This window comes from Homo sapiens, chromosome 18, assembly GCF_000001405.40.
Source record: "Homo sapiens chromosome 18, GRCh38.p14 Primary Assembly".
Lineage (NCBI taxonomy): Eukaryota > Metazoa > Chordata > Mammalia > Primates > Hominidae > Homo > Homo sapiens.
In genome coordinates, this window is record NC_000018.10 from 31002675 (window position 1) to 31021434 (window position 18760).

The following is an 18760-nucleotide window of genomic DNA, read 5'->3' on the forward strand; positions in this document are numbered from 1 at the left end:
GGGCAACAAGAGCAAAACTCTGCCTCAAAAAAAAAAAAAAAGAAAGAAAGAAAAAAAAAAGAAAATTACATGAAATTCAAATTTTACAGTCCATATATAATGTTCTATTGGAACACAGTAAAGCCCATAATTCACATATTTTTATAGCAGTGTTACTGTTTGAAGGACAGATTTGATTGGATACAATGGAAAACACATGGCCTGCAAAGCTTGACATATATACTATCTAATCCTTTACAGAAAAAGTGTGCCAACTCTTGCCTACCCTACATGGCCCCACACTACCTTTCTGGCTCCATTTCCTAATCCTCTTCCCCTTGTCCACTCTCACCACACTGGTTTCCCTGCCACTCCTTGGTTTCTCCAGACATAATCACAAATTAGGGCCATTCCATTGACTTCCCTCTCTGACTGAAAGTTCTTCCCCCAGGCGTTCCGCCTGGCTCTTTCACCTCTTCCAAAAATCATTAAAAATAATCTTCTCAGACCTAACTCTCTATTGAAAATTGCAATCACTGGCACCAATACCCTCCTCACCAACACACTCCACAGCACTACAGATCCTAATTATTTGCCTCTCTTTTTTTTCCTCCATAGCATTTAATTTATTCATTAACTGTCACAAGGCAGAATGATTGTTTTTGCTTGTTTGTTTGTTTGTCTTTCCCTATTTTTCCTAAGCACCTAGAACAGTTTCCTGCCTACAGTAGGTGTTTGATATATGTTTATTTTTTGACTTGATGAAAAATAATGAACACATTAGAAATTTACTACGTACTGTTCTAAGCACTTCACATGCATTACCTCATTTAATCCTCAGTGCTACACCATATGGTAGGCTACTACAGTTATTCCTTTTACAGTGAGGAAATGAAGCACAGTTAAGTAATTTGCCCCAGGTCACATGGCTTACAAGCAATGAAGTTGGGGTACAAACCCAGGCAGTCTGATTCCTGAGTTCTTTGCTCTTAACTTCTACTCTTATCACAAAACAAAGCTAATCTAGGCTGGAGGAGGTTAACAGAATTTAAAATTGGCAAGATATACCCAAGAAGAGACATTGCTGAGAACAGAACATCTCCCGTAACTCTGTGGCTGGACGGTAAGAAGATATGGAATGAAAGTGGCTTTTGGTGGAGTTTCCTAAGGCAGAAATTTTAGATTGTTCTATTTAGCCCTAAAAGGAATAGCACTGGAACCAAGAAATAAAGACTATTTGTTTGTCAGATTCTGTGAAATCTAAGGAATTTTCAACAATTCTGTCTAAGCATAAAGTCTTTTATCTCAAGAAGGATCATGTTCCCGTCACAGAAAATATTCAAACACAACTCAGGTAATAATACAAAAGGAACTTGGAAAGAGACTCACATCTGATGGATGCTTGGACGAGATTATTTTTTAAACATCTTTTCCCACACCTAGATTTTTTATTATATATTTTAACTTCAAGAAAGTGAAAATACTTACAAAAGAGCAGTGCTATACCCAGTAATATTGCAAGGATTGCCCATTTTCCAAGTATTACTCCTGTACTCCTTGAAGTCGCACGACACTGAGTTGGATGAGTACATTCACACAGATTAACTCTCAATAATTTTGTTGCAGCTTGGCCGGCCCTGTCTTTTACAGTAATAGGAATGGTATATTCTTGAAATCCAGCATTTTTCTGATATGAAAGACGGGCAGCTGTATCTGAAAGAAAATAAAAGAAGTTTATTTTTTAATGATCATTTATTCTTCCCTTAGCATTTGTTTCATCACGCTTGTTTTTGAAGGCGTCATTCTCAAGGAACTGCCTGCCAGATGAAAATAAATAAAAATGGAGGACTGTCTTCAACCCTTTCAAACTCTACTGTTATCTTATATGTGTTGTCCCTTGTAATTCCTTAGAAGGGAGCCCTAAAGAAATAATTTGGCATTGGAGTAGCCCAGTAGTATTCCAGTAATGTTTATCTATACAAACTAATACTGTTAGGTTGGCTGTTAACATACACTTCAAGCATTTTTCTTTAGTACCAATGTATCTACAGGTACACACAAATAGTTTCTGAAGTTTACGTTTCTTATCCATTGACCTTCTAGTATTTGCGCACTATTCATATGGATAAGGTAATTTTTCAAAGCACAATAGATTGTTTACGATTAACACCTTTGCATCTGGAAGTAATCTTAGTACCAGAAGCTAATTAATGTCACTCAGGCTACTTATAAGGCTTACACAAAACAGAAATATCTATATAACAATTCACTTTTATCAACTCTGATAGTCAATTTTCCCCAATAGTCTTGATCTATTATTTTAATGACCATATTGTCAACTAACCAAAAGCTCCACAGAATTTCAATGGCAGTTACAGCCTCCCTGAGCTTTTATAATAGACTAAGTAAAATGAAAAAGTAGCATAATACACACCCTGGAAGTCATCTGGAATTCCTAAGCCTTGATTAAATGCTCTGCTGTAGCTGTAAGAATTTCAAAGATTTTGGCTGCACCTCATACCTGAAGGCTCCCTAGAGGAATATGAATTACCACTTGGGTTTACTTAGGACCCTTCAAGACCACACTGTGTCTAAGGTAAGATCCTTGAAATCTCTCCGCTCCCTCAAGACAACAAGTGGAGCCATTGTCATGTCTCAGTTATTCACAGTAGTGCATTGGCCTCTGATTTTTCTTCACTCAACTCTGCCCCCTTCATATTGTCCTCCTGTCAACAGTGTCACCTTTAAAAGATGTAAATCTGGGAATGGCATTGCCTTATTTGCACATTCCCAATGCATAATTGCTGTTGCCTACTGTACCAAGGTTAGTCCCCTCAGCCTGGCACACAAGGCCCTTCACCACCAGATGCTACCCTTCCTTCCACCCAACCTCTTGGCATTCTTACTAAAACCTTCTAAACTCTAATGACATGGATATACTTATTCTCCTGGTATGTTTCTTCTTTTATGCACATTATTAATCAATTATTGAACAAGCAAACATTTATGAAGCAGTTAGTATCTACTAAGCATTAGGCTAGGTGCTGGAAGTACAAAGATGAATTGCAAACATTCTAGGAAACTCATGTATTGGAAGGGAGAAGTAATCAGATGTTAATACAACAGGAAAGGCACTGCAATGCAGGTAGCGAAGGGTCATGGTGCCACTCCTTCCAATTCAAGACAAACTTCAGAGGTGGAGCATCTCAGCTGGGATTGTGTCTGTCTTGTTCATCTCTATATAAATCCTCAGGATCTGGACGAGTGCTTAATAGATAGTAGATGTTCATAAATATCATGAAAAAAATATCATGCTCATAAATATCAAGCTAAGAAATGGAAAAGGAGGTATTCTATGTAGATATGGCTATATACACAAAAGCCCAGTTGCATGAAAGAACATGGCAGTAACAACAGAATGAAGTATGGATGAAGTACAGAACATGACAGCCCCCAGAAACTGCTACAATAGGCAGCAGCCCCTCAATACTCCTTCCCATATCCCTTGCTATATCCCGCCAGGTTCACTTCCAGGATACCCTAGAGTGCTTGGTCTATACACCTGAGTTCCTCACTTCCAGAGTCAGCTTACAATACAATTTAAACTACACATCTTCTGCTCTCTCCTCACCTCGCTGGTATTATTATTATTATTATTATTTTGAGACGGAGTCTCCCTCTGTCCCCCAGGCTGGAGTGCAGTGGCACCATCTCTCAGCTCACTGCAACTTCCACCTACTGGTTTAAGTGATTCTGCTGCCTCAGCCTCCCCAGTAGCTTGGATTACAGGTGCCTGCCACCACGCCCAGCTAATTTATGTATTTTTAACAGAGATGGGGTTTCACCATGTTGGCCAGGCTGGTCTTGAACTCCTGACCTCAAGTGATCCACCCACCTAGGCCTCCCAAAGTGCTGGGATTACAGGCATGAGTCACCATGCCCAGCCATTGGCATTATTTTTAAAAACATGCACACACACACACAAAGTTTGTCTTAATGATAAGCTGCCCAACATTTTAACAAAGCTTTCCTTTGTTGTAAATGTAAATGTTGCCTTCATAAAAATTACATCTTCCTTCATTTTATATATAACAGAGCCCCCATATAATATTTGTAAAAGGTTAGTTTATCCTTCTAAAATATATTAATGAGACTCAGTTTTACTTCATGCTTTGTGTAAGTAAGCAAGTCAATCTATCCTCCAGTTATTCTGTTATTTCAGAGTTTATAAATCATTATTTTTTATTAAATACCATTAACTTTGGTGAGGCTCCACAGTCTACTGATTTCTGGAGAAGTATTGGGCAAACTGAAATAAAATGGAGCTCCATGGACAGGTTCATCAGGATCAACAGCTAAAATGTCGGTATACCCCATTTTTGGTTTGCAAATGACTACATATTCTTGAAGTATTTCTGGTGGATTATCATTTACATCTTCAATGTTCACAGCAAGTGTTCCAGTACATGATCTATCATCTAAGGAGACAGGAATAAGGTTTAGTGTTATTTTAAAATTCTTTCATAGTTTCTTAAAGAATAAAAAGTCAATTATATTCTATACATGATCTGTTTTTAAATAAACTGATTATTAAAGGAAATGATAAATAAATAAGAACATAGACAGATAAATAGAATCTGCAGCTAATTTGAAATGACTATTGCTACTGATAATATCAGATACAACTGTCAATAAATCTTTTACCAGAATTACTACCAAATAAAAATAAATGTCTGAATTTCAATCTCTATTTTTGGGGGTTCCAGGTGCCACATGTTAGTAAGCAGTAAAGTGGTTACAGATAAGATTTCTAATCCCAGTATATATTCAAACCACTAGGAAGATTTTTTTAAAATATAAGATTCCTAGGCTCCACAACCGGATATTCTGATTCAGTTAGTCTAACAAAGTATCTACAGATTAATATTTTTATTTTAATGTGAAGACAAGGTTGAAAAACTCTAGGTTACTTTAAGGAACAGAATTCAAGAAAAGGATCATTTTGACCTAATATGCAGCTGAACTATATAAAAGCTCAATTTAAAGTGACACAAACGGATGTGGAAGAGTCTGATGAGACCATTTTATCTAGTTTTAGATTTCAGTTTTATTTTTGTCCTCTAGCATAGAAATACATAAGAATTTAAGGTCCTGCCCTATTGGGGATATAAAGATAAATAAAACACGGCTTCTTGTCACCAAACAGTTTCACCTTGTTAGATAATTAAGAGAGACAGAAAGAGTCTTTAAAGTAATTTCAAAGAATTCCATACACTTACCACCAAAATAAATCTGCATAAGAATAATTACATTTTATTCTCTAATTCCTTTATAGAATACCAGATTAAAACTTTTTTTTTACCTTTGTCTATTGCCAGGACTGTAATATTATACAACTCATTTTTGGGAGTTTCAACCTCCCTATCCAGGATTTTGGAAGTTATGATTGACCCTGAAATTTCATCAATGGTGATCCAACCTTTAGGATCATGCAATTTTTTGTACCTGTTAATAAAAAAAAAATAGTCTTTAGCATCAGAAAATGTTTTCAAATAAGTTACTATCTCAATGATTACAAATACATTATTAGTATGTGGTTATAGATTTATTTTTACCTTAAACCATTGCCATTTCTATTTTCGGGGTCATATGCCTTATAGCCGTTGATCTTTGACCCCACTGCTAAGTTTTCTTTAATCCGCACATATTGGGCTGCAGGAGTGCATTCAGGCCCCTCATCCAGATCCCTCACATGAACTGTAACCAAGGCTCTGTTCAAGGCTGTCACTCTGGGAATATCTCTAGCAAATGGCGCTTCATTGTTTACTCCAATTTCCAGGTTCACTTGACGGTTTTCTTCATAATTCAGTGGCTTTAAAATAAAGTCCATGTATATCAGTGTCAGTGTAAAATACATCTGGCATTTCAAATGGCAAGTGAACATTTGTCATCCTGACCAGTGCTGCATAAATTCTATGTTCACATGTTGTTAATACTGACTTTTATCCCTTGCTAAACAGAGAGTGGATCCCGTGCTAAGCCTCTACCAAGAATGGTCCAACAACTTCTGCAGGTAGTTTCATAGAGTTGGACAAACGAAATTCCGGAAATATTTTCATATTTCACTCTTACTAAGGAAAATTACTCTGATTCAAAAAGTAATGCAAACAGATGACAGTATTCTTATGGTCCTGCTTGGAGCACTGTCTAACAGGCTGGGCTAACGGTCATCTGAGTATGGGAAGTTGCCTTTATTTGGCTTATCAGTTACTACTGACTATGGCCCAGGCATTTTATAACTCTTGTAAAGTTTGATGTTGACTTTCACAAAACCAAAAGGTGCAATGATTTCATTTTCTGTCTCATAGAAAAGATATCTCCAGTATTTTATTTTCTTTTATTTTATTTTTGAGACAGAGTCTTGCCTCATTCTGTCACCCAGGCTGGAGAGCAGTGGCGCAATCTTGGCTTACTGCAACCTCTGCCTCTTTGGTTCAAGCGATTCTCCTGCCTCAGCCTCCCATGTAGCTGGGACTACAGGCACGTGCCACCATAATCAGCTAATTTTTGTATTTTTTTCTTTAGTAAAGATGGGGTTCTGCCATCTTAGGCTGGTCTCGAACTCCTGAACTCAGGTGATCCACCTCCCTTGGCATCCCTAAATGCTGGGATTACAGGCGTGAACCACCATGCCCGGCCCCAAATGTGTGTTTTAATTGCCCTCTAAGGCATCTAACTGAGCCATCTAATTGCTGCTTTTCTTTTATCAAAATCCATCCAGAGTCTCATTTCTTCTTAGGAATCAACTTGTCTTTTTGCTGGTTCCTTCATGAATGAGTTAAAACCTTTATCCATCCATGCCCACTACCTGTTTTTATGAAAATTACATTTTTGAAAACTTGAGAATTATACTTTGGCATTGTCTATAATTTATCCAATGAAACATTCACAGTGGATACACAGAGGAGTAAGGGAAATACTATGTGATTGATTTTAATTATCATTGAATCTAAGGCACTACTCTAACAGTGAAAATAAACTCACTAAATCCTCATGACATTATGAAGTAAGTATTATTGACCTCATCCTCATTTTACAGAGCAGAAAACGGGAAAAGGAGATAAACTGATTTTTTTTTAAGACCAAAAGATAATCATTTGAGCTTGAATTTGAAGCCAGGTAGTCTGACCTGAGTCCATTTCCTTAGCCTACGCTATAATCCCTCTGCTATCGTGTGCTGCTTAATTGGCTCACTGATCTCTAAAAAATTTCCAAATCAATCTTTGACTAAAATTCAGTTTTAGATAACAAATCAAGTAAAACCCATAAAACATTATGTTACACTGTACTATAAAGTTGAAGCACTTTTTCTTCAATTTCTCTTTCTGCTTATCAAAACAATCACTGGCTAAACATTGAACAAAATCAAAACTGGTGAATAAAATTATTTTAAATCTTTCTCCACACCTAGGTATTAACAGAGTAAGACATTAGTATCACGAGTCCACTAAAAAGTCAAGAAAGTTTCTGAATCTTAGAATCTACAAAACATATGTAAAACCTTTTTTTATTTTGTATGTATATCCCACAAACTGGAGAGTCAAGGAAAAAAATATTAATATCTGTTCGTTTGATGCTGATGAATACTGTTTCACACATTTCATGTGCTGGTGTGATCACACAGAGAGTAAGAGCAACTGCTGGCAATGAGAAATGGATGGAAATTTAGAGAACAGCTGCTGCACTGGAGGAGGTGCAACTATTCAATCCAGAAACACTCGCTGAAGCCTTGGAGTTTCTTTGTCCCATTTTTCGAGGCTTAAGATGGATATTGTTTTAGTAGCTTAAAACTCTCCAAAATTAAAAATCTGGTGAGATGAAATCCTAAAGATTAATGGGATTAGTTAATCTCATTAATTAATAGGAAAGCCTGTAAATTCTCTTCCACCTCAGGGTACGTTTTTGTTTCGCCACTTAAAAAAAGTGCTTAAAAATATCCCACATCTGCACTGAGATGTTAACAACTCCCTAGAAAATGTATAGTTGTGGAAATGGAGCTGAGGACTCTCCATGTTGAGAAGGACCAAGAATAATACTATCCTCACTCAAGCCCATATGCGTCACTGCTGCTGCTCCAATGGACAGAAGCCACTGAGGTGGAATGAGTTTACCCAGAACACAGCAAAAGCCTGTATCACTCATGCTTTGTGGTTACAGAAAAGTTATCTATTTTGGAACATTATAACACTAGTCTCAAGGACATAGCATAACTTTTTAAAATAAAATAATAATATCCCACAGTTTACCAAGTGCTGTTACGTTCAATATTATATTTGAAGAGCTATTAGGGAGGCAGAAAGAAGTATTGTTCCCATTTTACAGATAACACAGAGGCCAACTTTCCAAGATCACACAGCTGTGGAAAACAATTTAACATAGTGCTTGACAGCGTATAGTTAGAGTCAAAGAGCTAGGTTCAAATTCTGTCTACACTACATCCTAGCTGTGTGGCATTGGGAAAGTTATTTAGTCTCTTTAACTCTTCTCTTCTGTGAAATTGTTGTAAGAATGACATTTAACACTACAGCATAAAATAAGGCTTTACACTAAATTCTGAGTAATCTCTCAAGCTGTCACAGAGGCGAATGAAGGGAATAAATGCTGTATGTTTTTGTTAACAGCCAATATATTGCAATAAAAGGAGACGCTAACTAGTAAGACAATGTTTGCAAGCTTTATTCAGCTAAAAGTATACCAGAGCAATTCTTGGTTTGGCCTACTGATTACTTAACTCTTTGAGGTATAAAGGAATGAATAACATGCACTCTTTCCCTGGATATAATTCTGACTAGCAAGGAAGAACCAGGGCATTGGAAGAGGAGGATTCCTTTAGAGTTAACAACATAGTGATGTCATTCTTTAATCAGTACTCAAAAGGTTAGTCATCATTAGGTACATAGCCTACATGACAGAAACATGGATTTTGAACACCATGATTATACAGTGTTTGATTTTCAAATAAAAGATGACTCACTGAGATTAAAAAGTACTTAAAGATGCCAGGCACGGTGGCTCACGTCTGTAATCCTAGCACTTTGGGAGGCCAAGGCGGGCGGATTGCCTGAGCTCAGGAGTTCGAGACCAGCCTGGGCAACACGGTGAAACCCCATCTCTACTAAAATACAAAAAATTAGCCGGGCATGGAGGCATGCGCCTGTAGTCCCAGCTGCTTGGGAGGCTGAGGCAGGAGAATTGCGACAGCAAATTCCAAAAAAAAGAAAAAAAAAAAAAAAGTACTTAAAAGTACTCCATCTCCAAAAAAAAAAAAAAAAAAAGTACTTAAAGACATGATTTAACCACACAATCACAACTCTTTCCCAAGGAAAAGAATAAGATACTTTCAAAGACTAGCATGGCTATCAAAGGAGCCCTGTGATAATAATTCAGCTTTTCTAAGGGTTTGGATAAAATATGAAAAGGATAACACAACATGGCAAAAGCAAATTTTATTAATCAAAATGTTAGCAGACTATGAATGACTCAAAGGAAAAGAGGAGGTACGATTAGCAAAGGAGCTAGTAATGTCAGAAGAAAAATATAATTTAAAAAGTAAACTCCCAAAAGTAGAAATGAATTAAGGTTGCAAGAAGAGAAGATCCTCTTGTGCAAATGAAGTAATGGCTTTATCAAGCTAAGTAACTCAAGTATGGAAAAGAGGCGACATAAGAGAAGCAAGGATACCAAGCCAGAAGGAGAACAGCTCAGGGATTATGAATAAGAGCTCCCCACCAGAGAGATCTGGGTTTGTATCTTGGCTGTATGAACAGAGTTATCTCTCCTAGATAGTCTGGACATTCAACACCTGACTGTGGGGTACAAATCACCTATCCTAGCTGTATGGACTGCAGCATGTTATTTCTCTTTGATTCAGTCTACTCATCTGGAAATGAGAAGAATTAGAATAACAACCACATGGGCTTGTTTTGGAAAGATAAATAAATCTTTTAATTCAATGTTTTTTGGGAAGTTTTGTGGGACACTGTTTCAGAGATGGAAAAAAAGAAGGAAATAAATTAGTTTTATGAAGCAAGCATAAAATTGATAGTAAAAACTTAATAGCAATTATAGAAAAGGAAAAACTATGGTAAATCCTTTTTGTGGATATGGATGTAAATCCTAGACAGAAATTAGACAAAACAGCTGAAAAAAATGAAATTACAATCTTGGCTATGACTTAGGAGAAAAATGCTAATTCTCTCCTACTCTTTCTATGAAATTAATATAATTGTAAAAACATCAAAAGAGATATTTTTAAACTTAGGAGCTGATTTGAAAGTTCACATGGAAGAACAAACAAGGAAGATATTCATAAGAAAAAAATCCACAAAGGAAGATCACTAGGTAAGAGTGGCATGGAACACTGCAAATACTAAAATGCATATTATACATTTGATATTCTTAAATAGCTAGCAATAATACAGCAGCATATAGATGCTAATTAATAAACAATAAATTAACGGTACAAAAGAGAATGTCAATAACAAACTCAAATATACATGTATCTTATTTTATGACAAAGAAAATATGTCAAAACATGAATTGGAACAGATACAAAAACTAAAATTTGATTCATATCACAATTGTTCTAGGATAAATTTCATACAGATCAAAAATTTAACTGGATAGATAATTAAACAATAATAATGTAGAAGAATTTCAGATAAAATGCTTTCATAATGTCAATACCATGATAATGACACAAATCTCACAACCACAGAAGCCTCTGATAAATTGTGACCAAGCAAGCCCTGCCAACAAAACAAATCCTGGAGGTCAAAAACCAACACAAGCAAACTTATAAAACAATAAAAATTGGTAAAAATATTTGCAAAAATATTTCCTTCCGTAAAACTCTTATAAATAAATAGTTAATAGATAAGAAGAGCAAAACATAGAAAGCTGGCTAAAAGACAGGACTAGTGAGCTTGAAGATATAAAATATATTCAATGGCGTCTTCATATAAAAGGAATGCTCAGCTACACTGAAACACCATTTTTTTGCTATTCAACCGATAAATATCAAAACTTGATAATATAGTTGGCAATTATTTTACAACAGGCATGTGTGTACATTTCTGATGAGCATGTCAACATGCACAACCTTTCTGGAGGACAATCAGGCAATAAAGCAACCACAGAAAAAAATAGCCATGTCCTTGACTAAGCAATTCCATTTCTAGAAATTTATCCTACATTTACATTGTAGTATATTCATTGTAGTATATTTTGAAATAATAAAAAAATTAGAATTTCCATTGATATGGCCTAAATTTCCATTTATAATGAACTAGTTAAATAATAATTTACATTCATATGATGGATATTTTACTGTAATGTCTAAAATAGATAGCTGTAAAAAATGGCAAAACTGTTTACATACTAATATGTAATGACTTCAGGGAAAAGTTGTTGAATGAAGAAAAGCACAGAATAAGGAATACAGAATATCCATAGGTGTGGTCTAAACTTCCATAGATATGGAACTGGTTAAAAAAATATGGTATGTCCATACCATACCATGAAATATTTCCAATGTATATATAATGAACTCAAGAGATATGTTAATTGAAGTAAAATGTATTTGTTTTTAAAAAAGAAACATGATAAGATTACTTAAACATGTTTGTGTATATATAAAATACCTTTTGAATAATACACAGGAAACAGGTGGCATGTATTAATTCTTCCAAGCAGAGCTGAGTGGCTGACAGACCAAGTAAAAGTGAGACGTTTTACACCATGTTTTTTGTTTCTTTTGAACTTTGAATTTTTGTTTCTTTTGAACTTTGAACTAATGGACTGCTTACTGAAAATTTGAAAATTACTGGCCTTATTAATAAATAAATGTAATAAAGAATCTATTGACATTTAAAACAATTAAATGAGATACTATAGGTTAAGCACTTGGCAAAGTGTCTGGCATTTAGTAAATAATAAATGTTAGCCATTATTGTTAATTTGTGTTTAACATGAAGTATGAATTTGAGAATATAATTAGATTTCATGACAAGGGGCTGCAGATGTAATATATTCTGTGACATATTGAATACAAACTGCCTTGTGGGCTTAATGAGGTATGGCATGCAGTAATGGAAAGATAATTAATTTGGGAACAAAATAGACCAGGTTTGTGTTCCGGGGTGGATCGCTAATATATGCTTGACTTTGAGGAAGTTATTTACCTTCATCAGCCTTAGGTGGTTGTTGTGTTTTTGGGGTTTGCCTTTTTAAAAAAATCAATGTAAAATAGGGATAATAACACCTTGTCATATAGGGGATATGAAAACTATGTACAACTTATGTAAAGTGCCTAGCATTTTCTGTGACATAAAAGGAACTTGATTCATGGTAGCTACTTTTAAAATTCTAAAAATATTAAAAGTATTTCCTTCATGTAGAAACTAGGATGTAATATCAAATATAAGGGTAACTATCTTATGTTTTAAAATAATGGAAATAAATGTATATAAATGTATTGGGGAAATTTTTGATACACTCCAGATGTGAAATTAAGTTAATCTGAACCAAAAACAAAGCAGTAAAGTATTATTATCTAACTGCTGCCCATTCTGGAGAATCCTGGAGTGCTACTCAGAAATGAAACAAATGCATGTCAGTCACATGGAATGAGAAATATTCTATGATATAGGTTATAACTTCCAATCACCTTTGGAAATGTTTTTCTTAATACCTCTATGGTCAGAACTCCTTGGACAAAAAAACATACAAAAGAACATTGAGTACATATACTCATTGATTAGGCCTTTTTAAAAATTAGAGTATATTCTTTAGAAAAAGTTTGCTAGAGATCATTTTGTATTGGTCAAAAAAACTTAGAAATGTAATTCCTAGTGGTATTTAAATTTTATATCCTCTAAGCAAGACAAAACCTCTGATATTAAATAATAACAATAATGATAGAGTTTCTCCACATGGATCTTGAATAACGGCCTTGAGAGAGACTGGAGAAGCTGCCTTCTGACCAAGGAGCAGATAGACAGCACACCAAAAGGTCTGAGCTTGGGTCTCTGACAGAAGCTACTGTAGTTATATTGTCTGCCCTTCCCAAATCTTAAACTATTCCTTTGACTCATTTGCAGGAGAAACCAAGGCTTGGTGGGGGTGAGGTAGGAGATCAGCAGGACTTGTTTTCTGAGCATCAGTCATGACCCTGCTGATTAAAACAGAATCTCATCGAAACAGTATGCAGTCAAGAAACCAGCCACAATCAGTTAAACCAAGAAGATGAGGACAGAGACCTCTAGTTGACCTCAATGCTCATTATATGCTAATTATAATGCATTAGCATGCTAAAAGACATTCCCACCAGCGCCATGATGGTTTACAAATGCCACGGTAATGCCCAGAAGTTACCTGATATGATCTAAAAGGGGAGAAACCCTCAGTTCCAGGAACTCCTGCCAGTTTTCCAGAAAATGCATGAATAACCCACCCCTTATTTAGCATATAATTAAGGAGTAGTTATAAATACAGCTAGCCAGCAATCCACAATTGCTACTCTGCCTAGTGAGCAGCCCTGCTCTGTCTGTGAAGCCACCATTTTCCTTTGTCTGTTGCTCTAATAAGCTTGCTTTGCTTTCACTTTACTCTACTGTCTTGCTCTTGAATTCTTTTCCAGGTGAAGCCAGGAACCCTCTGGGCTGAGCCCCAATTTTGGGATTTGCCTGCATCAGGAGGAAGAGGGGAGAAGGGTGTCCAGGAGAACATTTAACAGAACATCTGTTGCAATCACATCAATTCGAAACATATGCCTGTACTACCTAAGTGTTCAGCCTTGGAAACTGTATGAGATATACGGTAGCCCTTTTCAGAACAATTATACACCACAGCCCCTCAGCCAGTTCCCATGTGTGCTGTAGATTCACATCTCAAGACTCAAAGATTTGGCTCTTCAGATTCAGGGTTCCCTCTAAAACCAGAGGGCTCCCTCAGCAGACAGCAGGCACAGCCCAATCCAGAAGTGTGGTGAATTTAAGGATCCCTGGGTGAAACCTTCAACCAGTGGGGCCTGGGTACTGAGAAGGGATGTGAGGGGTAAATACCCCAAGTATCCATTTTTGAGGGGATAATTATGAGGCAAGTTCTACATGGTTTCTTGTATGGATGAACACCAAAGATGACTAGCTCAATAATGCAGACTAGATTGGCTTTTCCTCCTTCCCTATCTTATTTTCCCATTTTAACATTGGCTTCCTGGGACCCACTTCCTAAATACATTCCCATGTTCAGGTCTTTGTCTTGCATTCTACTTTCTGGAGAGTCCAAATAAAGACTAGATTGATTTGGACTAATAAAAAACAAAAGCAGTCAGTGGTATTTTCTTATTTCCTTTCCTATTACTCTCAACTATAAAGCATAATGGGTTTTTTTAAGTACTTGGTTTTAGTATTCAATTTGAGCAGATCATATTATAGAAAAATAAAATAGGGAGGCTTGATGTCAAGAGTCTATATTTGACTCTTCACATCTGGACAGAACTTGCCAAGTCTTAGTATAGGAGCCTTGGAAATTTTTACAGAGGAAATAATTGCAAATAGAGGTGTTTGTGTACCAAAGATGCCACTTTACTGTTTTTGGCAGATAAGCCTCTTTCAATCAATGAATGACCTCTATTCTTGTCCACAGGACAATATTAATTTTTGTTTTGTTCTGGGCTAGAAGTATAAAACCAATGATCCTTTTCAAACAGATCCCTTCCTACCCTCATAACCTGGATCCTAGAATGTACCAGCACCACCAAATATACAACATACTGAACAAAAAATAAGTTCATTCATTGCTGTTTGAGATAATACTAAATTTCATTGTGAATATCACCTTTAAAAGGATCAGATACAACCAGGCATATATTATAGAGAAAATGAGAAGAATATGGGTTTGTATGTCACATCATGTAAGAATTAAGAAATTGAGAATATTTATCTTACAGAAAGTAAGTCTCAAATGAACATAGCAGCCTTTTCAAAAGAATTATAGCTGTTCTGAATAGCATTAGAGGAAGAATCAGAACCAAACATATGAGTTATAGAAAAAATAACCTGGACACAGTAGAAGTAAGAACTTCTGAGAACCAAAGCATTTCAAATGTGGGATAAGTGGCCAATGGAGCTATGGAGATCCTTATAAATGAGAATGTTCAAGCAGAAGCTAGGTGACTAGCAATCAGCAATAAAATTACAGAAGACACACAGGCATGAGATTGGAATAGTGGTTTAAATAGATTTTAAATTTTCTTCCAACTTGTAGAGTCTATGGTCTGAAACTATTTAGTTGATTAAATTATTAGGTAACTAAAACCTGTTAATTTGCTAAGTTGTCAATTATACATTACTGTACCTTTACAACAGAAAGAACACCTTCATTAGTTTCTTTGTCTGTGCTGATTTTGAAATGTCCATTTTCATTTCCCTTTAAAATGGTAAAATTGACTCTCCAATTGGCAGTGTTAATTAAATCCTTATCTTCTATAGGTATTCGTAAGATTTCCACATTGAATGCATTTTCCTCTACAAATGCTTCATACTGAAACAGAAAGAAGTCATTGAAAATTGAAATTTTATTTTATAGACAACTTTAAAAAAAAGTTTCTTCCATTCCAAAAATACTTACCATTATAATTTTATATAGATTATTTTAAAACTATGAATCGTAAACACTATTGTTTCATTAAGGGTTATCTTTTAAATAAAAGAAAAGTTTCATTACAAATGAAGACTCATGGTACTGGCCTTTGACAGAAGGGAGATAATAGAAACACTAATATGAATAAATAAAATAAATTTACATATCACTTGTTTAAACTTTAATTTTATTCATAAAATACGTATACGTCAAAGTATGATACTTCATGAAGTATTAATTTTATTAATTCAGTTTAAATAAAAAATGATAGCAGATAAGACAGAGGCAGATTTTGATATTATATACTTACAGCATTTTGTCTGAAAGTGGGTGCATTATCATTTGAATCTGTTACTGTTATGATACAAGTTGATGTGCCTATCAATCCAAAAAACTGGCCATCCATGTCTTGTACTTTCATTATCAATGAGTACTTGTCTACAACCTGGAAACAAAGCAAATATTTAACTAGTCTTGAAAAATTTTTGGTAGATTTATAAATGAAACCTCAATTGCACACTCACTCACTCACATACACACACATCTGTGTGTTTCCGTGCTTTTACCTGATTTCCATATTTGCACAGACTCTAGGAATTTGGTAGACAAGGATAAAGCTGAAGAGGCAGGCAGAGATTAAATTACAAAGACCCGTACTCAGAAATTATGCTTTAAGTAACAGGTAATAGCGAAAAGGTTTTTGGAAGTCATAGGGGCAGCACAAAATAAGAATATTTGAGTTTTGTTTTGTTTTGTCTTGAGACGGAGTCTCATACCGTCACCCAGGCTGGTGTGCAGTGGCACGATCTTGGCTCACTGCAACCTCCGCCTCCTGAGTTCAAATGATTCTCTTGCCTCAGCCTCCCTAGTAGCTGGGATTACAGGTGCCCATGCCCAGCTAATTTTTTGTATTTTTGTAGAGACGGGGTTTCACCATGTTGGCCAGGCTGGTCTCAAACTCCCGATCTCGTGATTCACCCGCCTCGGGCTCCCAAAGTGCTAGGATTACAGGCATAAGGCAGCACACCCAGCCAGAACATTTGAGTTTTAAAAAAATATATCCTTAAGGAAGTTTTGGCATAATTTGGAGAAAGCCAAAAAATCAAAGCAGTTAGTTGAAACTCCCCTGCAGCAATCATCTAAAACAGGTGGCTTAGGCCAGCGCAGTGGCTCACGCCTGTAATCCCAGCACTTTGGGAGGCCAACATAGAAGGATCGCTCAAGGCCAGGAGTTTGAGACAGACATGGGCAATATAGCAAGACCTCATCTCTACAAAAAAATAAAAATTTAGCTGGGCATGGTGGTATGTGTCCGTACTCCCAAGCTACTTGAGGTGCTGAGGCGGATGGACCCTTGAGTGGGAGTTTGAGGTAACAGTGAGTTATGATCATGCCACAGCATGCAGCCTGAGCGACAGAGCTAGATCTCTTCTCTAAACAACAAACAAATAAATAAATAGGGCAAGTGTCCCAAATCTGAGGCAGTAGCAATGAGGACAAAGAGAAAGGATGGCAGGAAATTTACTTGGGAGTTAGAATGGAGTAGGACTTAACAGTAAATTCTATATACAAGTTAAGAGAGAATGATTTTCAGGTGTCCCACTTGGAGAGATAGGAAGACAGGTGCATCATCAAACAATACAAGAAATGCAGGAGAACGATTCTCGGAGGAAGTAAACACTATTGAGGTTGGCAAAGGGGTAGAAATACTGAGTTTTGCTTTGCATATGTTGAATCTTATGTGCCTGAAGGAAATCTAAGGAGTAAAGTCCAAAAGGCACCTGGATATATGGCCTCATATGTACAGAAGAGATCATGACTAGAAATGTCTACCCAGAAATCATCAGTATCTAGATGGTGGTTGAAATTATGGCAGGAATCAGATTATTCAATTCAGGAGAGGCTGCAGGATGAGAAGAGCCTCGGATGTAAGGACCTACAGTATTTGTAGCATGGAGGGAATAAGAAGACCATACAAAGGACACTAAAAAGGAAAGATCAGAGAAGCAGGAGGAAGACCAGAAGTCTAAGGGAAGAGAGAGTTTTAACAAGTGCCAGCAATAGACAAGGACTTAAGGTTGCTGTTAGATTTGCAAAAAATGAAATTTTGCAGATGGTGTGGTGATGGTGAATTGAAGTCATTAATTTGTGGTACAATCATCTTTGTGGCCTTCCTCTTTTATTTTACTGTTCGTTAGTCACGCTTTCATTCTTTTATTTTTCTTCATTTTTTTTGTTTCCCTCTATCTCTTCCCTCAGTCTTTATTTTACTTGATCTCCCTTCCATACTGAAAGTCAATATTCTAGTCAGGTGCCATGGCTCATGCCTGTAAATTCCAACACTTTGGGAGGCTGAGGCAGGCTTATTGCTTGAGTGCAGGAGTCGAGACCAGCCTAGGCAGCATGGCAAAATCCTGTCTCCACAAACAATAAAAAAATCAGCCAAGCATGGTGGTGTGTCCTGTAATCCCAGCTACACAGGAGGCGGAGGTGGGAGGATTGTTTGAGCCCAGGAGGTACAGGTTGCAGTGCACCATGTCTGTGCCATTGCACTTCAGCCTGGGCAAGAGAGCGAGACCCTCTCTCAAAAAAAGAAAAAAATACAAACAGAGAAAGTAAACCAATATTCCCACCTTAAAATGCTCTTCCCGTATGCTTTAAGAATCCCTGATATTCTTTTTATCTTCCTCTAAATTCACTGTTTTTTTTTTTTATCTCCCATCATTTTTACTTCTCATGTTGTTCCCCTCAACGCTCCATGGTTGTTGCCCACAAAATCTGGTAGATTTTTTTCTTCATCAGGAAAGTAGCAGACCTGGGTTTGATCCTAAAACTGTATCTTACAAGTTGTGGACCCCTAAATTTAATTTTTCTAAACCTCATTTTAAAAAATTTGATGACTAAAACCTGTTAACTTGCAAAGTTTCAATTACTCACTTGATTACTACATCATCCCTACAAACTCCACAGATACAAAAGCACATTCAGACTTTCCCCTTAAAACTTTCCCACTTACTATTATCCTTATGTATTTTATCTATAACATAAAATGCTCCGGCCCCATAAAAAATAAAAATAA

The 18760-nt window shown here is 36.3% G+C and overlaps 1 protein-coding gene across 2 annotated transcripts in view; it reads right to left on the reverse strand.

The window, feature by feature from the left end:
- Positions 1 to 18760, reverse strand: part of DSC3 (desmocollin 3) — a 53378-nt gene that overhangs the window by 13310 nt on the left and 21308 nt on the right. For both annotated transcript variants that reach the window (NM_001941.5, NM_024423.4), the window contains exons 8-13: positions 15992 to 16126; positions 15397 to 15582; positions 5595 to 5851; positions 5342 to 5484; positions 4233 to 4457; positions 1468 to 1692 (exon numbers count right to left, since the gene is read on the reverse strand). In NM_001941.5, the coding sequence (NP_001932.2) occupies positions 1468 to 1692; positions 4233 to 4457; positions 5342 to 5484; positions 5595 to 5851; positions 15397 to 15582; positions 15992 to 16126 (1171 nt within the window). The remainder of the gene's footprint in view (positions 1 to 1467; positions 1693 to 4232; positions 4458 to 5341; positions 5485 to 5594; positions 5852 to 15396; positions 15583 to 15991; positions 16127 to 18760) is intronic.